A 20,933-nucleotide genomic window follows, 5' to 3' on the forward strand; every position below is an offset into this window, starting at 1 on the left:
ATGGCCAGTCCACCACCTCCCTTGTCTGAGCCAGGGGCAGATCATACACTCATCAGCAGATTATTACTCATCTGTTAATGGGTAACACCTCGGCCCCACCATGCAAGGCTGAGAGGCCAGCGTGAGATTCTGCACTGAGCGGGGGTAGGGGTACTCCACACCCCAGGTCTCCATCAGTCACCACCATCGTGGGTCTGGCTCCTATCCCTCCCCAGCATTCAGAGGATAATCTCCCTACATGGCCTTGGACACCCAGCTCACTGGGTCGGGTAGCCTGAGGCCGGGATGCCAGGCCTTTGCACAGAGACTGTCTCAGAGGCCACCCCTCCCACCAGCGCTTTGGACCTTTCTCCACCTTTACACCCCACCCAGCCAACCCAGGCTGCACACCCCTCGGGCGCAGTGTTGGCACTGAGTCTGGTGACCGCTCGCTGGGAGGAAATGTTGGCCTGCATGACTGAGTGACCTGACTGCTGGGAGGCCGGGGCTGGGGGAGACGGGATGCCGGGGAAATGGGTGCCCAGGCCAGGACAGAGTGCGCACAAGCAGCCTAGCCTCAGGCATCCGTTCTCCCTGACTGCTCTGGGGCACAGAGGCAGGGCAGGGCCCAGGATGTCAGGCCCCACCCTGCAGCCATGATGCGGGACTGAGGCTAGCCGGGCCTTGAATCCTACCCCAAACCCCCGCAGGTGGGGCCAGGGCCATGAAGGGCTGGACCCCTATCTCCCTGGCGGCCACAGTCACATCTTTGCCCCTAGGGCTCAGGGGATTCCCTTGGAGGCTTTTAGAGCTCAGCAAGAATCAGTTCAACCTGTGGCTGCTGGGGTGTGGGCGGGTTCTGCATGATTTGCGGGCCCAGCACCCATCATGCCTGTCCGCAGGGCTCAGCGCCCCTGGTGCAGGAGGAGAGGGAGGGCAACAGGGCTCCCCTGTGGGCCGCTGGCCTTGGGGGTTCCTCCCTTGGCTCTGGGCTTCTCCAGCTGTGGTTCCAGGGCAAGCCTCTTTCCCTCCCAGTCTCAGTATGTGTTCCTGTACCGCCCCAGTGCTGTCCTGGGACTGGAGGTCTCCAGGCCCCAGCTGGGGTGTGGCCAGTGTCAATGTAGCTGCAGTGACGGGGTGTCTCCCCACCCCGGCACCTTCCTGCCTCCGGGGCCCCGCAGCCCAGTGCACAGTGTCATGGTGCACTCCAGGACGGAGCTCTCCCCTCACAAGCTCTGTGACCCCAGGCAGGCTCTTCAGCCTCTCGGTCCCTGGTTTCCTCCCTGTAAATGGGATACTACGCCATCTTTATAGGGCTTCCATGATTCAGTGAAGCCATCTGGTTTCAGGCCAATTGCCTGGAGAGTGCCTGCTCACAGGACATGCGGTGTGAGCTGAGCTAGGATTATGGCGTAGCTCTCCAGCACACTTGTGCACTATACACACACATACCATTTCCGTCTTACCCACCACCGTACTAAGGAGGACTTTTTAAGAAGGGGCACACACTTTAGAGTTAATGTTTGTTACACAAAGGTGGCCCACGACAATTAGTGCTCATTTAGCACGTGCCTGGCAGCAGGACCTTGCCCACCTCTGTGAACAGGAGCTGCCCCTTAGTGAGGTGAGACTGTGCTGGCCACACGGCAGGACCTGGCCATCCCCAGAGCTTCCCAGCTGGAGGCTGCCAGCTGCTGCCCTCAGCAGTGAGGAGTCCTCAGAGGCTCTGGAAGTTACAACCCTGACCCTCCGCCTGAGACCTGAGCCCTGCCAGGCCTGTCTGTGTGCACAGCACCAGGGTTAAAGTGGGGCCAAGTAGGGCAGGCGACAAGCAAGGTCCCCTGCGGTGGGCGGGCTGAGGGTGGGGCAGGCTGAACTCTGCCAGCCCAGGGCGGGCCGGATGACCTCAGCTCCGGGTGACACCGGTGGGCGTCGGGTGTGGCCTCAGACAGCTCCCTTCCTCCCCGGCTGGTTGCCAGGTCAACACCGGGTGGGACTAGCCTCTGGTGTCGGCAGTAGCCCCATGCTCCCGGCCTTTGGGTTCTTGCATGCGCCGTCCCCATCACCTGGCTGCCCCTCTCACTTCCGTCTCCACCTGTCCCGGGTCACCTGTCCTTCAAGCCAGAAATTAAGGACAGCACCCCCTCCCAGACCGCCTGGCTGCAGTCCCGGGATGGGCGCTCCTAGTCGCCTAGATCGGGCCCCCGCTGAGCCCGATCCCCCTCCCCGCTCCGCGCCGGAGCCGAGCTCCCTGCGCCGGACCAGCAAGCGCCCGGGCCTCGACTTCCCCTTCCGTGCAATGGGAAGCAAGCCTCGCTTTCCTATGAGCAGGGTGTCGGCTCCGCGCGGGCCCCGGCCCTGGATCCTGCTTGGCTTTGCCTGGAGCCTCATTCTCTCCGGCTGTGCCGGGGGAGGCTGGAGGCGGCGGCGAGGGGGACAGGAGTGTCGCCCGGCTCCTCCGCCCGCGGCCGCCGAGGGACGTGGTCGGGCGTTCCTCTCTCGAGCCGGGAGGGGGCGCTGGAGCACCGGGAACCCGGGGCCGTTAGCACCGCCCCTCCTGCCGACGCCCCGCCTCCGGCCGCGTTTCCCCGGGCCTGGTCCCGCTCCGCTCCGCGGCGCCTCCTCTCCGCAACTCCCACTAGGAGGGCAGACCCTCAGCCGGAGCCGAGGCCGCGCCCCGCAGCCGCGCCCCGGGGCTGCCCCTGTGGGTGGAGCCTCTTAGGACGACATCCAAACACCCCGGGCGGGCGCGGGACTCACGCCGGGAATCCCAGCACTTTGGGAGGCCGAGGCGGGCGGATCACCTGAGGTCAGCAGATCGAGACCAGCCTGAGCAAGATGGTGAAACCCCGTCTCTGCTAAAAATACAAAATTAGCCTGGCGTGGTGGTGGGTGCCTGTAATCCCAGCTACTCAGGAGGCTGAGGCAGGAGAATCGCTTGAACCTGGGAGGCGGAGGTTGCAGTGAGCTGAGATCACGCCACTCTGCACTCCAACCTGGGCGACTGAGCGAGACTTCGTCCCAAAACAAACAAACAAAAAAACCCACCAAAAAATAAAAAACTGAAACCGTATTTTTTTTTTCGACAGGGTCTTGCTCTGTAACCCAAGCTGGAGTGCAGTGATGCGATCACGGCTCAATGCAACCTCAACCTCTCCGGGCTCAAGTGATCCTCCCACCTCAGCCTCCCAAGTAGCTGGGACTACAGGCGCCGCCACTCCTGGCTCCTTTTTTTTTTTCTTTTTTGAGACGGAGTCTGCCTCTATCGCCCAGGCTGGAGTGCAGTGGCTCGATCTCGGCTCACTGCAACCTCCACCTCCCAGGTCCAAGCAATTCTTCTGCCTCAGCCTCCCGAGTAGCTGGGACTACAGGCGTGTACCACCGTGCCCGGCGAATTTTTGTATTTTCAGTAGAGAGGGGTTTCACCGTGTTGCTCAGGCTGGTCTCTCTCTCGTGACCTCCAGATGATCCGCCCGCATGGTCCTCCCAAAATGCTGGGATTACAGGCGAGAGCCACCGTGCTTGGCTAATTTTTTTTTTTTTTAGATGGAGTCTCTATCTGTCGCCTGGGCTGGAGTGCAGTGGCGTGATCTTGGCTCACATCAAGCTCTGCCTCCTCGGTTCACGCCATTCTCCTGCCTCAGCCTCCTGAGTAGCTGGGACTATAGGCGCCCACCACCACGCCCGGCTAATTTTTGTATTTTTAGTAGAGACGGGGTTTCACTGTGTTAGCCAGGATGGTCTCAATCTCCTGACCTCGTGATCCGCCCGTCTCGGCCTCCCAAAGTGCTGGGATTACAGGCGTGAGCCACCGCGCCCGGCCAATTTTTGTATTTTTAGTAGAGACGGGGTTTCACCATCTTGGCCAGGCTGGTCTTCAACTCCTCACCTCGTGATCCACCCGCCTCCGCATCCCAAAGTGCTGGGATTACAGGTGTGAGCCACCGTGCCCAGCCTACTTTTTAAAAAAAATAATAATTTTTTAGAGATGGGGGGGATCTCACTATGTTGCCCAGGCTGGTCTCGAGCTCCTGGGCTCAAGCGATCTGCCCGCCTTGGCCTTCCAAATTACAGTCGTGAGACACTGCTCCTGGCCATAAAAAACCCCTCTGAAACTGGGTGATTTGTAACACATCCAGAGGGAAACGTCTGGAAACTGCTGTCAACCAATACTTAGGGGCTGGGGATTTAGTGTGGGAGAAGACAGCTGGAAGTCCTTGCACCAGGGCTTCCTAGCAGGGTGAGATAGTCCCAGGAGAGGCTGGAGGCCTCTTCCAGTCACCTTCTTCTTTCACTCTCCATCCACCCGCCTGGCCCCTCCAACCTCCACCAGGGTTATTTATTTATTTATTTATTATTTATTTATTATTTATTTTTTGTTTTTGAGACAGAGTCTCCCTCTGTCGTCCAGGCTGGAGTACAGTGGCGCGATCTCCGCTCGCTGCAAGCTCCGCCTCCCAGGTTCACGCCATTCTCCTGCCTCAGCCTCCGGAGTAGCTGGGACTACAGGCGCCCGCCATCACGCCCGGAGAATTTTTTGTATTTTTAGTGGAGACGGGGTTTCACCGTGTTAGCCAGGATGGTCTCGATCTCCTGACTTCGTGATCCACCCGCCTCGGCCTCCCAAAGTGCTGGGATTACAGGCGTGAGCCACCGCGCCCGGCCCCAGGGTCATTTATTTAGGACCCCCTGCCTGCCAGTCTGCCAAGGGGCACAGGAGTTGGTCCTGGACCTGCCCTGTCAGAGGATCATCACGATCCTGTGGCATAGGGCCACAGTGCTCACATGGCCCAGCCTGGTGGCATGAGCCTGTGCAGTCCCAGCTACTCCAGAGGCCGGGGTGGGAGGATCTCTTCAGCCTAGGAGTTCGAGGCCAGATTGGGAAACAGCAAGGCTGCATCTGTTAAAAAAAAAAAAAGAAAGAAGGGAAGAAAGAAAAAAAGGAAGGAAGGGAGTAGCAGAGAGGAAGGAAGGAGGGAAGCAGAGGAAGGGGAGGAAGGGAGGAAGGAAGGAACGATTATATGTAGCAGAGACATGCATATAAAACACCCAAAGGAAGGAAGGAAGGAGGGAGGGAGGGAGGGAGAGAAAGAAGGAAGGAAGGAAGAAGGGAGGAAGGAAGGAAGGATTATATGTAGCAGAGACATGCAGGTAAAACACCGAAGTGGTGTATTGTCACTGCGCAGTCCTTGATGTTGCCCAGGCAGTCTGCGGTGTCTTACTCCAAGACGGCCACAAGAGGGTACTGAGAGCAAGCCTTTCTGGCCCAGGGCCAGGCTTTCCGCTTCCAGTGGAGCACCCCAGTAGATGCAGATGCCGCCCTCACCTCCGTTCTTTTTTTTTTTTTTTTTTTTGAGATGGTCTCACTTCATCGCCCAGGCTGGAAAATGCAGTAGTAGGGCAATCACGGCTCACGGTAGCCTCAACCTCCTGGGCTCAAGTGATCCTCCCAACTCAGCCTCCTCAGTAGCTGGGATTACCAGCATGCACCACCACACTCAGATAATTTTTTTCGTATTTTTTGTGGTCCACTATATTGCCTAGGCTGGTCTTGAACTCCTGGGCTTAAGTGATCCTCCTACTTCAGCTACCCAAAGTGCTGGGATTACAGGCATGAGCCACCGTGAGCAGCCTGTTCAAGCTTTGGAAGGTGTGGAGGCTGGGGAGCAGGGCTGGGAGAGGGTAACGATAGCCTCAGTGCAGCCAGAGGATGTGAGGGACGCTGCTTCTTCACTTAGTCCACCCCATGCCTTTACTGCATTGGCAGGGATGGGGAGGCCCAGAGAGGGCCAGGGGCTCCATAGACACACAGCAGACGCTGGGCATGGCCAGGCACAGCTCCTGCCTCTGGATCTGCCAGTCTCCTGTAGAGAAAGGCCCATGGCAGTGGCAGGAGAGAGGGGGAGAAGCAGCGTATCCGAGGCTCGAGGCAAAAACGGGCCCTGAGGCCAACTGTGCAGCTCAGCTATGAGCTCCAGGCCTGTCTTTACAGATGCTCCCTGCCCCAGACTCAATGGCTTGGTGGCTCAAGGGACTTGAGCATTTCCTGAGTACCCTATGCCCCATTGGGAGCAAGCCCTAGAAGCTGGGAGGCCCCTGCCTACCAACACCTTGGATGACAACTAACACCTTAGGTGATAGTTACCACTTGCACTAACAAGTTGGGAGAGCAATTTCTGCCCAAGTGGCAAGGGGGCGGGGTGGCCTTTTGGGGGATAGGGCGATGGAAGGGGAGCATGCCAGCTGACTTTCTGACGTGAGGGTGTCTGGGTCTTCAGAGGGTGCGGTTGCAGCCACAGTGATAAGGGTGTGAGGTGTCTGACCTACTCTGGCATTGGTGTGTGACACTAGGCCAGGCCCCTGTCCTTCTGGTCTGTGCTCTTGCCTGGAGCAGTGTACAGATGTGGGGAGCCCCTTCTCAGAATGTAGATGACTGGGGTTCTTGTCTGCCTCAAACCCTCCCAGAGCTCCTTGCTGCCCCCACATCAGGGATTGACCCCTCTGCTGGGCATTCTCAGCTTTGCACAATCTCTGCTACCTTCTTTTTCCAGTCTCACCTCCCGCTATGCCCACATCATCAGATCTCCTGAGCTGCAGCCACAGTGCCCAGGTCAGGCCTCCACCTACCCTGCTGTGATGCCCCCTTGCCCATCTTCCTCCTGGAGAACTTGTGCAAAGAGCTCTATCCATCCCACATCCAGGAGAACCCAATTCGCATTTTCACAAAGACACTTCTCTGCCTGACCTGGTTCTCCGTTTTGGACCATTGGATCGTGAATTTGGATTGGGTCTTATTTCTCTCAATGATCCCAGAATCCAGCATTGACATGGAGTCAATAATGCTTAATATTAATATTTATTAATACATGAATGTATTGTTTATGAATGAATGGGCAAAAGAATGGTGAGAAGATGGATGGATGAATGATGGGGATGGGTGGCGGTGAGATGAAGTGAGGACAGTGGACTGATGTTTATGTATGTGGATAATATAAGAATATAACTTAAGGGTAATAGATGAACACATGGACGAGTTAATTACTAGGTGGCTGGCTGATTGGTGGGGGATGAATAACTGTCTGTGTGAGTGATAGTGGATGAACGATGGACATAATGATGGAATGAGTATGTGGTGGGTAGAAGAATGTATGGCTAATGATTGGATGGGCACTGGAAGCATGGTAGAGGGTGATCCTAGATGGTGGATGGATATAATATGATGGATGGTAGATGCATCTATGTAGTTGGTGATTGATTAAGTGATGAAGAATAGATAAATACACAGTAGATTGATAGATGGAAAATGGACGGACGTGGATGCTGAATTGTTGGATCGATGGATACCACATGAATCCATACATAGTGGATATAAACTGCAGGCAATAAGTATTAATAGTAGATGGTGGATGCTTAGTGGGTAGATACATCATGGAAGTGTGGATGGATGGTGGATAAATAGTAGTGGATGATTGTGATGGATCTATCCACAGAGAATGGATGGGCAGATGGGACAGAAATACCAATGAGTATATGACTGATGGATGGATCATGAGTGGTGGACAAGTAAATGGTGGCTGCCTGGTGCATGAATGGGGACTGGATGGCAAATAAATGAATGATTGCTAGCTGGATGAATAATGGGTTGTGTGCTGTGGAGGTACAAATGGAAGGTGGATGTGGATAGATAACAACTGGATGGAATCTGGATGACTAATGATGAACAGGTGCTGAGCGGATGGATGAAGGTTTAAACAGTAGGTGGCTACAACTTGGAAAAGTGATGCATGAAAGATGAATGGTGGGTGTGTAGATGGAGAGGTGGTAAATGGATGCTTTAATGTACAGATGGAGGAAGATGGATACATAGCAAGTGGGTAGAGTGGATGATGAATGAAGATGGATACCGAATGGAGAAAGAATAACGAGTGTGGGATGGGCATGAATAGTGACTGGATGGATGGTGAGTGGATTGTAATGGTCGATGGATAATGGCAAATAAATGCTCACTGCTGTCTCTCTACTCTGTCCTCAGCACCTAAAACAATGTTTGGCACATAGAAGGCAGTCAATATTTTTTTCTAGAATGGATGAATATGAATGGATGCTAGATGGTACTTGGATGGATTTTGGATGAATAGTGAATTTTGGCTGGATGATGGGTGGATAGATAGAGGATGTTGTGAGATGGATAGTGAATGAATGGATACGTGGTGGATATGGATAAGAGATGGTGATGGTAGGCTGGGTGTGGTGGCTCACGCCTGTAATCCCAGCACTTTGGGAAGCCATGGCGGGTGGATCACCTGAGGTCAGGAGATCGAGACCAGCCTGGCCAACATAGAGAAACCCCGTCTCTACTAAAAATACAAAAATTAGCTGGGTGTGGTGGGCACCTATAATCTCAGCTACTTGGGAGGCTGAGGTAGGAGAATTGCTTGAATCCAGAGGCAGAGGTTGCAGTGAGCCGAGACTGCGCCATTGCCCTCCAGACTGGGTGACAGAGAGAGACTCTGCCTCAAACGAACGAACAAACAAACAAACAAATAAACACCAAAAAAGAGATGGTGATGGTAGATGGTTGGTGGATGGATGGAGGAATACAGTTAATAGAAATATGAATGGATGGCAAATGGTGAATGACTGGTGGGTGAATTGTAGATGGGTGACTTGTTGCTGATTGGATGGAGGTTAAGGGATAAATCAGGACAAATGAATAGTAGAGTGATGATTCACAATTAGATATGTGGATGGAGATGTGAATGGTAGATGGATGTGTTAAATATCTGATGGAAAGCTGTTACATAGTGAGTGATGGATGGATAGGTGGTGGATGGATCGATGGTGAATGAATGTTGGATCAATGGGTATTTAGTGGTGTATTGATGCTTGGTAAATGGTGGGTGCTGGTGGTGAATGGATGGGTGCATGATGGATGGGTGGTGGTTGCATATGGGATGGTGACTGGAGATGGATGGTTAATGGACATTGGATACTGGACGGTGGTTGAATGGTGGATTGTGAATGGATGGCTGGTGGTTGCATGGGGGAAGGTAGATGGTGGATTGTGGATGAGATGGATGTTGGGTTATTGATGGTAGATGGTGGACTGTGGATGGGATGGATGTTGGGGTATTGATGGTAGATGGTGGATGGTGGACGGGATGGATGTTGGGTTATTGAAGGTAGATGGTGGACTGTGGATGGGACGGATGTTGGGTTATTGAAGGTAGACGGTGGACTGTGGATGGGATGGATGTTGGGTTATTGAACGTAGATGGTGGGCCGGGCGCGGTGGCTCACACCTGTAACCCCAGCACTTTGGGAGGCCGAGGCAGGTGGATCACGAGGTCAGGAGTTCAAGACCAGCCTAGCCAAGATGGTGAAACCCCATCTCTACTAAAAATACAAAAATCAGCCAGGCGTGATGGTGGGTGCTTGTAATCCCAGCTACTCAGGAGGCTGTGGCAGATAATTGCTTGAACCCGTGAGGCGGAGGTTGCAGTGAGCCGAGATCTTCCCACTGCACTCCAGCCTGGGGAACAGAGCGAGACTCCATCTCAAAACAAACAAACAAACAAACAAACAAACAAACAAACAAACGGACGTAGATGGTGGACTGTGGACAGGATGGATGTTGGGTTATTGAAGGCAGATGGTGGACTGTGGATGGGATGGATGTTGGGTTATTGAAGGCAGATGGTGGACTGTGGATGGGATGGATGTTGGATTATTGAAGGTAGGTAGTGGACTGTGGACAGGATGGATGTTGGGTTATTGAAGGTAGATGGTGGATTGTGGACGGGATGGATGTTGGGTTATTGAAGGTAGATGGTGGATTGTGGACGGGATGGATGTTGGGTTATTGAAGGTAGATGGTGGATTGTGGACGGGATGGATGTTGGGTTATTGAAGGTAGATGGTGAATTGTGGACGGGATGGATGTTGGGTTATTGATGGTAGTGGTGGATTGTGGATGAGGTGGATGTTGGGTTATTGATGGTGGATGATGGATGGCAGATGGTGGGTCTCAGATGGTGGCGGGATGGCAAAAGATAGATGAATAGCTGTGAATGGTAGACGGACCGTGGCTGGACTGTGGGTATTGAATGGAAGTGGGATGTTAGATAACTGACGGTGGAGGCTTCCTGGTTGCAGGGTAGGAATTACATGGACCAGAGATTATGCACCTTGGCTCAGGTGTCAGGTCTGTGCACTGGGCTGAATGAGACAGCTTGTCCCAGGGCTGTTTTGCTCCTTTTTGGGAATGGAACTGGAAAGATGAGAGGGGGGCTGAGGGGTGACCCCCTCCCCCCCCCCCCCCCTGCTTCCTGCAGCGCATCCCAGTTTGGGTTTTTAGGTTTTTTTTTTTTTTTTTTTTTGAGACAGAATCTCAGTCTGTCACCCAGGATGGAGTGCAGTGGCACGATCCCGGCTAAGTGCAACGTCTGCCTCCTGGGTTCAAGAGATTCTCCTGCCTCAGCCTCCCAAGTAGCTGGGACTACAGGCACCTGCCACCGCGCCTGGCTAATTTTTTTTTTTTTTTGTATTTTTAGTAGAGACGGGGTTTCACCATATTGGCCAGGCTAATCTCGAACTCCTGACCTCAGGTGATCTGCCCGCCTCGGCCTCCCAAAGTGCTGGGATTACAGGCGTGAGCTACTGCGCCCGGCAGTTTGGGTTTTTTTTTTTTTTTTGGTCCTTTTTACTCCTGTCTTTATTCCCCAATAGGAAGGAGTCCTCTTTCCATGTATCTGGCCCCACCGAATTCTGCACCTCAAATTTCTGGACGCCAATCTTGAGGCTCAGTCTCAAGTGGCCAGGGGCAGGCCCTGGGGGAGGGGTCGGCTCAAGGGAAGATGAGGCCGGGCCCTTGCTGGGGGCTGGAGCTGGGAGGGCGCGGGCGCTGAGGACCGGCGGCCAGCCCCGCGGTGGGCGTGAGTGCGAGGGAGGCCGGGAGAGCGCGTGTGGGCGGGGAGCGCGAGAAGGAGAGCGAGCCGGGAGAGCGCGGAGCCAGCGGAGCGCGGAGGCCCCAGCGCCAGCACCCGCGCGGGCGGTGAGCGTGAGTGTGGCGCAGGGTCGCCCCTCCCCAGCCTGGCCCCGGCAGTGCGGGCCCCGGGAGCGCCCTGACGGCTAGGTGCGGGGTGGTTGGGAGCGGGAGGAGCATGGGGGGGGATTTGGGAGTTTTGAGTCGAGCTCCTTGGGGAACGGGACGGCGTGGGTTCGCGGGGTCAGCCCGGCTGTGGAACGCCATGCCTCCGCGCGCTTGTGTCCCCGGGGCTGTGCCCAGCAAGACCTGGGATCCCGCGGCGCTGGGGGTGGTGGGTGCCCTCGATGTGTGGTGCCCCGGCTGGCACTGGACCCTGGCGCCGGGCAGGGCAAGGCAGCCCTTGGGCACTTGTTCCCTGCTTGCCTGCCCCCGCCTGGCTCAAGCTGACAGCTCTATCATCTGCCTCTGTCATCCCTCTCTCTCTGGGCCAAGTGTCATCTGTGGGTCTGTTTCTGTCTCTCTCTCTCTCTCTCTTCTCCTCTGTCTCCAGCTCAGTCACCTCTCGCCTGGTCTCTGTGGCAGTATTTTTCTTGCCTCTCCCTCTGCCTCCTTCCCAAGGCTGGCTGGGTCTCTGTCCTGGCTGCCCTGGACTCTAACCTGAGTTCTGGGGTCCTGGGATGGGATCCAGAAGAGGCTTGATGGAGGGCCGGACCTGGGAGCAGTGGGGCACTGAGACATCCCTGGGCTTTGGGGTTGGGCAGAGGAGCCAGAGGTTGTGGCTTCACTGCCCGCTGCCCCGAGAGGCCTCCTGCAGTGTGTGCCCCTCCTAGCCCTCCCTGGGCCTCAGTGGGACCCCAGCTGACCTGAGTGGGGTGTTTGGTGAAAGAAACCTCATTTCTCAGAATAGCAGCCCTCTGCTTTGCTGGCGGCCACAGGACCACCCTCACCCACCCCAGCAGGACGTCACAGGCATTCCATCCTGCTGGTCTCTGCTCTCCCACTGCCTTGTCCCCTTCCTGCAGGGCTGCCCCCGCCCGTGGCCCCCTACTGCCTGCATGCCAGCCACTGCCACACCCCACCCCCATTTCTACCTCTGACCAGGGCGTAGCCCCAAGAGCCCACACGGCCCGAGCGCAGGTGAAGGGTCTGGCTGGTGCCAACTCCTGCCAGGGGCTCTCTTCCCAGAGCCCTTGCTGCCAGGGCTCCAGTGGGGCTCCCCCTGCTGTGGCCAGCCTGAGTGGGTGCGGCCAAGTGCAGGGGCAGGACTTCATTTCCCCCTGGGCTGTGGGTGCTGAGGGCCTGGCCCGGGGTGTGCAGGGTGCATGCTCTCGAGGAGGAAATGGGCACCTTGGCCTCTGGCTGACTTGAACCCAGTCCCTACTACTCCCAGCCTCCCGTCTCAGGAACGTTTAGGTCCCTAGGACACTCCGTGTCCTTCCTGCACTATTCCTGTCTCAGAATGTGCTTCTGTCCTCCCAGCTGGCCTAGCTACCTCCTGCTCACCTCTCAGGCCTCAGATCAGCAGACTTCTTCCAGGAAGCCTTCCCAGGTCTCCCCTCCTGCCTGTGCCCTCTTGCAGGCACACTGTGCGGCCAGGGTCCAGTGCCCCCTCTGGCGGCGGGCTCAGGCAGGGAGCAGTGCAATATAGGTCCAGCTGGAGCCATGGGCACTGGGCCTGGGCTGGGGTGGAGTGGGGTGGGCTTAGCACCTGAAGCCTTCGGGGGAGTGTGGATCCAGCATCAGGCCAACAGCAGACACCCCATTTCTGCTCCCAGTCCTCGTGCAGCTTAGTGGCGCAGTGGCGGCAGCAGCATGAGCACCCCCCGGCCTGCTCCACCACAGCCAGGCGCTGCTGAGGGGGCTGGAGGCCCAGAAGGGAAGGTATGCGCTCGGGACCCTGGGGGGGTCGGGAGGGAGCAAGCCTCAAACTCTGTCCCATGACTTGGGGCATGCCTTGCCTTGCTGCTGGCCTCAGTTTACCCATCTGGGTGGGGGAGATCATTGCTTATTTATTTATTTATTTATTTTTGACACAGAGTCTTGCTCTGTTGCCCAGGCTGGAGTGTAATGGCGTGATCTTGGCTCACTGCAGCCTCCGCCTCCGGGGTTCAAGCAATTCTCCTGCCTCAGCCTCTGGAGTAGCTGGGATTACAGGTGCCCACCACTATGCCCAGTTAATTTTTGTATTTTTAGTAGACTCGGGTTTCACCATGTTGGCCAGGCTGGTTTCCAACTCCTGACCTCAGGTGATCCACCTGCCTTGGCCTCCCAAAGTGCTGGGATTACAGGCGTGAGCCACTGTGCCCGGCTTGTTGCTCTTTTATAAAGGTATAATGGATAAAAAAAATTGAAGGCCAGCATTCCTGGCTTACTTAGCACTCCTTCCTGACCTGAGGACCCCAGGGATTGTCCCCAAGGCACGCTTTGCTCTCTGCTGAGTGAGGAAATGCCAGGGTTCCCTGCCCCTAGTGTCACCTTTTGGCAGGGGATGGGGAGGTGCTGATGAAACTAAAAAAAAAAAAACAAGCTCCCTACACAGGGTCGCAGCCTTAGTATTCTGAGTGCTAGAGCCCAGCTAGAGCCCAGCCATTCTCCTTGTTGGGGAGCAGTGGGGCTAGAGAGGGGGACCAGCCTGGAGTCATATAGGGACCAGTCTGGAACTTGGGGTTGCAGACACAGCCTCCCAGGCAGGGTGGACAGAGGTGAGCACCAGGACTCCGAGCTGCAAACGCTGCTGGCCTGGACCTCGTTCACCCCAGTGGGCAGACTTGGAGAGGAGCACCCTTGGTTGGGGGCAGGAAGGAGAATGGCACGTGGGGAGGGAGAGCAGGCTGGGGGATGAGCCCCCCTGGCTGGCAATGCCAGCATGAGGGTGGCCCCTGGGAGGATCCAGCCTTTGGGGTAGGGATGGGGTCCCTGCTCTGCTGTCCTCTGACAGCTCCTTCATTCCACAGACATCCCAGTCCAGTGACACCTGTTCTCACACTTGAGGGTCACATATGGTCCGTGGTTAAAAGAGAGTCTGGGCTGGAGCTCAGGAATGTGCACTGTTCAGGGATCTTGCTGCAGTGGCCGAGGGCCATTCAGCTAAGTCCCCCCTGCTGCGTGGCTGTCCTTCCTCGAGGCCCTTGTGCTCTTTTGGGAAGGTGGACCCAGCAGCTTCCCTTCTAGGTGGAGAAATGGGAGACAGGGAGCTCCAGGCAGGGCCATCTGCCCGAGCACAGGCGTGGGGGTGGGACAGGGCAGGCAAGTCAGGGCCACCGGGGCGCTGAGGGACAGAGTTCTGCACGTAGCACTGCAGCCTCAAAGACCTTGAACGGGAGGTGGAGATGCTGAGGGCACCGGGAAGGCCTGGGGACGCAGCCCCCGCAGGCTCCTGTGGGCACTGAACAATGAGCCAAGAGCAAGCCCAGAGCCAGCCGTTTGGGTTGCCATGGCAACTGCTTCCCAGCTCCTCTGAGCCTGGAGGAGGCCAAGGGCCCAGCAGGGAAGACCCCAGGAAGGGACTGGCAGGAGTCTGGGTGCAGGAGGCAGCTGGGGGTGCGCAGAAGCCTGGGCTCATTCCTGGTGACCTTGGCCTCTCCGGCCTCAGGCTCTGGCTGTGCAATGGGCTTCTGGAGCTGAGCACAGCTGCGTCCTATGGTGCCTCCTGAGAGCTGTGACCCCAGGGGCTGAGCACCCTACCCCCAGGGTTGGGACTGGGTAGGGCCTGGGACCTGTCTCAGGGATGTTCCTGTGTGAATACACATGTGCCCATCCCTGCCCTGGGGACTGGGTGGGAAGGGTCTCTGATCTCCCTAGTGGGGCAGTGTGCAGGACAGGGGTAGGGGGGAATAGGAGTGCCAGGCCTGGCATGGCCATGATCCTGCCCATCCTCCTTGCAGGCTGTGGCAGGTGCCTGGGAGAAGGGCCCTCGGCTGGGCCAGCGGCTGCCCTCAATCGTGGTGGAGCCCAGCGAGGCGGACCCTGTGGAAAGTGGGGAGCTGCGCTGGCCCCTGGAGAGTGCCCAGAGGGGCCCCTCTCAGAGCCGGGCTGCTGCTGGTAAGTGAGGGTGCCTGTGGGGGTGCTGAGAGGAGGAAGTGGCCACTGCCAGGGTCAGAAGCGGGGCGTGCTTCCTGCGGCTCCAGCAAGCAAGGCCTTCCCGCCTCCTGCCTGTTCACACTCCATCCTCCGCCCGCCTTGGAGTCTCTGCCTGAGACTCTAGGTGCTGCCTGGCCTTAACCCCCCTCCCTAGCACCGTCCTCCCTCCCACCTGCAAATGAGGTCCCTCATCCACTCTCAGCCGCAGGCCTGGGCACGGGAGGTGCACGGTGCATAATTGTTGAATGAGTGATGCCACATTCTCGCCCCTCCTTATCCAGTGCACCCTCGTCATCACCTCTGGAGCAAGTGTGCCTTGCTCACTAGGGCCTGGGAGGCTGTGAGCCTACAGGTGCTTGTGGTGGGGGGATGGGCTGGCCTGTTGGCAGGCTCCATCCCGCTGCAGGTGCCCTGTTTAAAGGCTGAAAGCAGGCCAGGCGCGGTGGCTCATGCCTATAATCCCAGCACTTTGGGAGGCTGAGGCAGGTGGATCAGTTGAGGTCAGGAGTTCGAGACTAGCCTGGCCAACATGGTGAAACCCCATCTCTACTAAAAATACAAAAATTAGCCAGGCATGGTGGCGGGCGCCTGTAATCCCAGCTACTCTGAAGGCTGAGGCAGGAGAATCGCTTGAACCCTGGAGGCAGAGGTTGCAGTGAGCTGAGATCGTGCCACTGCACTCCAGCCTGGGCGATAGAGTGAGACTCCATCTCAAAATAAAAGCTGAAACTTCTGGGAGGATTGTGTGAGCAGGAGGGGGCAGCCGGCGCCAGGCCCAAGGAACAGGAGAGGCAGCAGGCTGGGCTGTGGGGGCCTTGTGAATGGCTCTGAGGGCCACTGGGGGCTGGGCAAGGGGCATGAGGTGTGCCCTGTGCCCTGGGAGATGTTGTCCCCTGGAGACCCCTGGGAGTCTATTCCCTGAGGAGGAAGTGAATTCAGCCGCAGCTGGGGCCGCTCAGCACCTTGCCTGCCCTCTTCCCATCCCCAGACCTCAGCCTGTACTGGCCAGAAAACCCCCTTTTCATTGTGGCCAGAGGGGTTATCTGTCTGGACCCATAACCCCCACCTCTGCCCAAAGCCTCTTGTCAGTTTCTGCCCAGGGCCCAGGACAGCATCAGGGACCACCACTCGGGTAACCCCTGGGACTTGGGCTCTGGGGATATCCTTGAGTCTGCCCTGGACTTCCCTTCCCTCTGCCACCCCATCATCTGGTGGATGTGGGAGCTGCCCCTGCTCGCAGAGCCCAGCCTCATTCTGCCTCCCTGGCCGAGCACCCCTCCCGCTTCTCATCACCCGAGGGGACCTCCTGGCCTGCCCCAGCCCAGTTGCCTGCCAAACGCTCATTTCGGGCCCCTGGGATCCTCTCAGGCTGCACTCCCCCCGCCGACCAACACGGCCGCCTTTATGTTTCTGCAGCCCCCTCGCCGAGTCTGCCCGGAGAACCAGGGAAAGCTGCAGATAACGCTGGCAGCGAGTGTGCCTGCTCCGAGGACCCAGCAGCCCCGGCCCGGGGATAGGACAAGGACGTGGCTGGGCTCTGCTGTCTGACTGCTGAGGGCCTCTGCCCCAGGGTGGCCGGGCTGATGCACAGGAGGGCCGGGCCTGCCCAGCCTGGAAAGCCCAGAGGCTGCTTCCTGTGTCACAGGGTCTGGACCGCAGCCCTGCCCTCTTCTGCCCATGGCCCAGGTCTGGATCACACCCCGCTTTGTTCCGTGGTTTGAAGCAGAAATAAAGGCACTTCCTGGTGGCCAGTAGGCACACTTGATGGGGATGCAAGGGACTGAGGACAGTTTGGGCTCTGCCTGTGGCCTTCCAGGTGAGGGCCTCAGCTCCCAGCCCAGGCTGGCCAGTCCAGAGCGCCTCTTGGGTGACCACTTGGGCCTGGCACTGGGGCAGGCTGGGCAGGGCTGAGCTGGCTCTGTGGCTGGTGCCTCTGCCCAGGGACCCTCTCTCTGCTTTGGCCAAGGCTGTCCAGGGCAGAACCAGCCTCCTCCAGGTGGCCTCCCAACCCTCCGTGGGGCCTTCTTGGGGCCAGGGCCGGACCCTGAGGGCCTGCTACCCACTTGCCCCGGGTGTAGGAAAGCACAGCGATGGTGCCTGGGGTGGGCCGCCCCATTCCAGGTTGGATCTCGTTAAATCTTCGTGAAGGTCCCATTTTACACGTGTAGGAACTGAGGTGCAAAGCGAGGTGCTCAAGGCAAGCGGCTACGGAGGGAATTCCTGAGGTCAGGAAGCCACTGGGCTGCCACAGAACCTGCATCAGAGGCTGGTGGAGCAGGCATCTCTTCCTGCCCCATGTGGGGGTCCTGTCCCTCCACTGGGTCCATCGACATTGTCTCTGGACTCTGTTCTACTACAGGAGGGGAGCCCTGCTGCCTGGTTGCAGCTGGCATGGGGGCAGAGCCCCGAGTGTAACCCAGGGCCCCCTCCCCAGGTGTGTCCCCCCAACCTGGCCCTCTGCCCTTGGCCAGCCTGGGCCAGGATGAGGAAGCTTAGGGCCGGGCAGTGGTACACTCCATAAATGTCAGCTGTGCCAAGTCCATGGCCTTTCTGTGGCCCGGGCAGGTGTGCCAGGGGCCCATGAGAGGAGGGAGGCAGGAGACACTGCCCCTTTGTGCTTTCCCGCTGCCTCGCCAGCCTCCAGGACGAAGATGCACTTTTCAGATGCACTTTCTCCCACCGCCTTCCTTCTAAAAATAGCCAACCCCCCAATGCGGGAAAGGTGGGAGGTGAGGTGCGGAAGCTGGCCTGGCAGCCCGCTTCAGTTTTAAACCGCAGGACCCCGTGGGCCCTCCCCGGACTATAGCTCAGGTGAGGGGTGGGGCGGCCCTTCAGTCCTCTCCGTCCTCCTCCAGTCCTTCCCATCGGTCCTGAAGCCAGGGAGGGAGAGGCTTGACCAGGCTGGGGGACATGGGGGTAGTGTTGTGAAAGGGGACAGACATCTCGCAGGATGCCTTGCAGGCACGTGGGATGTGGGGTGCAGGGAGGCCGGCACGTGGGTGGGCGATGACGCCATTTACTGAGATTTGATCCCCACCACACGGCTCCGGGGTGAGAATTATGACATCTGGCTCAACACGGCTGCCCGGGACCCACACAGCCGAGCGGCCGAGCTCGGGCGGAGTCCCAGGGCGCCCACAGCACCCCGCCAGCGCGCCCCGTCCAGCAGGGCAGCTTTTGGGCGGAGGCGACCCCCACCGCAGGTCCCAGGACCCTGCGTGCTCTTGAGCCAGGGGTGGAGAGGCCCGACCGCGGGGGGCTGCCCCACCCCGCCGCCCTTCACCGCGAGCCGGGGCCCAGACCGCCCAGCCACGCCCAGAGCCCGCGGGCGGAGACGCCAGGGGCGGTGCCAGCGAGGTCCCGTCCCCGGTACCCCGTCCCGCCCCCCCACACGCGGTGACCTGGGGACGCCCCGCGGGAGTCGTTCTGCGGCTCCCCCTGGCGTCGGCTGGGGCCACCGCCCGGGCTCCCACCTCAACCCTGCAATATGGGGTTGGGGCAGAGTGGTCTGCTGCCCGCTGCCCGCAGCCGCTTCCGGTTAGGGAGGGAGCCTGGGCCTCTGGGTGCTCACGCTGCGCTTAACGCTGGTCCCGGCAGCAGTGAGGGTGGAAGCGGCCGCCTCTGGCTTCTACACCCCGGGTGTGACAGCCTGGCCTCTCAGTGAGCCCCAGATCAGGCAAGCATTTGGTGGTGGGGGTCCTGCTCCCTGGCCTTCCCTACCTGGGAGCCAGGTCCTCAGCCAAGGTGAACCCATTTGATCCCGACGACAATCCCATTTTCTGGAGGAGTAAACTGGGGCTCAGAGATTGAGGTGCCTCTCCAAGGTCGTGGGGAGCTGGGCTTGCCCTCTGGTGGGTGTCCCTGGCTAGGCCTCTCCCTCCTAACGGCTCCCCACCCGGCCTTCTCCTGACCCCAGACCAACCTCGTGACCCAGGCTTCTTTGAGATAAGGCTGGGGTTTTTCCAAAGGGATTTTACTGAGAAACTTCGGGAAAACATGGACATAGCATGAAAGAAACATTGCAACCTCATGCTGAAAAGCGGGCACAGGCTCAGGTGCCTGTGGAGAGCAGATGGGAGTTGAGGGGACTTCCAGGAGCAGTCCCCAGGCCCTGGGCACCACCAGCTTTTCAGGCACCTGTGTATTGAATGGAGCGACCCATAATTGGAGGTCCCAGGACCCCAACATGCCCTGGGAGCTGGGGGGCGGGTGGGAGAATTAGACCGGGAAGTCTCCAGTCCACCAAGGCCTGGCTGTATGGGAAGACCCAGTCCACAGAGCCAGAGACCTAGGTCGCAGTCCTGGCCTCTCTGGGCACCTGTGTGGCCGAGAGCAGGTCACTGAGCCCTGGGGAGCCAGCCACCTTGGACCCCGGCTGTCTCTGCTCAGTTTTGCTTATTCCCTGTTACCCCTCATCTCTGCCTGTTGGAGACAGGTGGGGTGGGACTCAGGCCAGCAGGTGGGACTGGGCTGGGAGGAAGGGCCTATGGGCTGCTGGGCACCTCTCGGGCTTGAAGTGGGACTCTTAGCACCCCACTTCACAGAGGGAACCCAGGGCTCAGGGTAGTGACTCAAGTGGTTAATTGGAGGGCTTCCTGGAGGAGGTGCTGGCATCTTTGAGTCTAATTTGGCCCCTCTGCAGATGGTGCTGCAGCATCTCAGGCACCTTCCAGTCTGTTATGGGCTGCTTTTCCCCCATAAAATTCGTATGTTGGGCTGGGCGCGGTGGCTCACGCCTGTAATCCCAGCACTTTGGGAGGCCTAGGCAGTCCAATCACCTGAGGTCAGGAGTTCAAGACCAGCCTGGCCAACATGGTGAAACCCCGACTCTACTAAAAATACAAAAATTAGCCGGGTGTGGTGGTGCGTGCCTGTAATCACAGCTACTCAGGAGGCTGAGGCAGGAGAATCACTTGAATCCAGGAGAATCACTTGAATCCAGGAGGCAGAGGTTGCAGTGAGCTGAGATCGCGCCACTGTACTTCAGCCTGGGTGACAGAGAGAGACTCCGTCTCCAAAAAAAAAAAAAATTCGTATGTTGAAGTCCCAATCTTAGAATGTGACCTTATTTGGAAAATTCCTTATAAAAACACGTGACCTTTAAAGAGGTAATAAGTTAAAATTAAGTCATTCGGGTGGACCCCAACCCATATGAAGAGGAAATATGGACACAGACACGAAGTGGGAAGGCCCTGTGTTGACCCAGGAAGAAGGGGGGGCGCTACCCACAGACCCAGAAAACAGCCCCAGGAGAAACCAGCCCCACACATGCCTTGACTGTGGGCCTCTGGCTTCCAGAACTGGGAGAGAATAAACGTCTGTTGTTGAGGCTCAGTCCCTGGTCCTGTCGTGGCAGCCCTAGGACACTGGATGCATGGGGCCGTCCCTGCCCTCAGCCCTAGGATGCTGGTGCACTGGCCTGTCTCTGCCCTCAGCCCTAGGACAGTGGGTGCATGGGGCCGTCCCTGCCCTCAGTCCTAGGATGCTGGTGCACCGGCCTGTCTCTGCCCTCAGCCCTAGGACACTGGGTGCATGGGGCCTTCCCTGCCCTCAGTCCTAGGATGCTGCTGCACGGGGCCACCTCTGCCCTCAGCCAGAGGATGCTGGTGCAGGAGGCTATTTCTGCCCACCTCAGCACCCTGCAGCAGCCCCATCACACACCCTGGTGGCCCCAGCCCAGGTTGGGACAGGCCTGGATCCGTTCTCCTTGGATTTTCCCTGAGTTGTTTCCTAAGACGCTCGCTGCGGAATCCCCCTATGCAGGGGTGAGGCTGCCTCTTCTGGGAAGTGTCAGTGGCCCTCCCTGCGGCACGTTGCCCGCCTGACCCCCTGGTGTGGGGAGTGGGGCCCCGCCTCCACATCTTTGCCCCTGCCCAGGATGCCGTCC

The 20,933-nt window shown here is 58.1% G+C and overlaps 1 protein-coding gene across 1 annotated transcript, besides 5 other annotated features; it reads left to right on the top strand.

Annotated features, from left to right (window-relative positions):
• Window positions 1,580–2,171: an enhancer, noted in NCBI's record as "H3K27ac-H3K4me1 hESC enhancer chr14:103541151-103541742 (GRCh37/hg19 assembly coordinates)". NCBI's record gives its function as "activates a minimal SCP1, AML or CMV promoter by ChIP-STARR-seq in primed H9 embryonic stem cells {active_cell/tissue: H9 hESC(primed)}" and the evidence as "EXISTENCE:reporter gene assay evidence [ECO:0000049][PMID:30033119]".
• Window positions 2,365–2,814: a silencer, noted in NCBI's record as "silent region_6141". NCBI's record gives its function as "represses an Ori minimal core promoter by ATAC-STARR-seq in GM12878 lymphoblastoid cells {active_cell/tissue: GM12878}" and the evidence as "EXISTENCE:reporter gene assay evidence [ECO:0000049][PMID:35858748]".
• On the top strand, window positions 10,976–16,793 carry LBHD2 (LBH domain containing 2). Its single transcript, NM_001330236.2, has 4 exons — window positions 10,976–11,113; window positions 12,742–12,847; window positions 14,851–15,007; window positions 16,463–16,793. Exons 2-4 carry the CDS (start codon window positions 12,779–12,781, stop codon window positions 16,561–16,563), a joined length of 327 nt encoding a protein of 108 aa, NP_001317165.1. The 5' UTR covers window positions 10,976–11,113; window positions 12,742–12,778; the 3' UTR covers window positions 16,564–16,793.
• Window positions 18,097–18,566: a silencer, noted in NCBI's record as "silent region_6142". NCBI's record gives its function as "represses an Ori minimal core promoter by ATAC-STARR-seq in GM12878 lymphoblastoid cells {active_cell/tissue: GM12878}" and the evidence as "EXISTENCE:reporter gene assay evidence [ECO:0000049][PMID:35858748]".
• Window positions 18,707–18,886: an enhancer, noted in NCBI's record as "active region_9094". NCBI's record gives its function as "activates an Ori minimal core promoter by ATAC-STARR-seq in GM12878 lymphoblastoid cells {active_cell/tissue: GM12878}" and the evidence as "EXISTENCE:reporter gene assay evidence [ECO:0000049][PMID:35858748]".
• Window positions 20,360–20,929: an enhancer, noted in NCBI's record as "H3K4me1 hESC enhancer chr14:103559931-103560500 (GRCh37/hg19 assembly coordinates)". NCBI's record gives its function as "activates a minimal SCP1, AML or CMV promoter by ChIP-STARR-seq in primed H9 embryonic stem cells {active_cell/tissue: H9 hESC(primed)}" and the evidence as "EXISTENCE:reporter gene assay evidence [ECO:0000049][PMID:30033119]".

This window comes from Homo sapiens, chromosome 14, assembly GCF_000001405.40.
Source record: "Homo sapiens chromosome 14, GRCh38.p14 Primary Assembly".
NCBI lineage: Eukaryota > Metazoa > Chordata > Mammalia > Primates > Hominidae > Homo > Homo sapiens.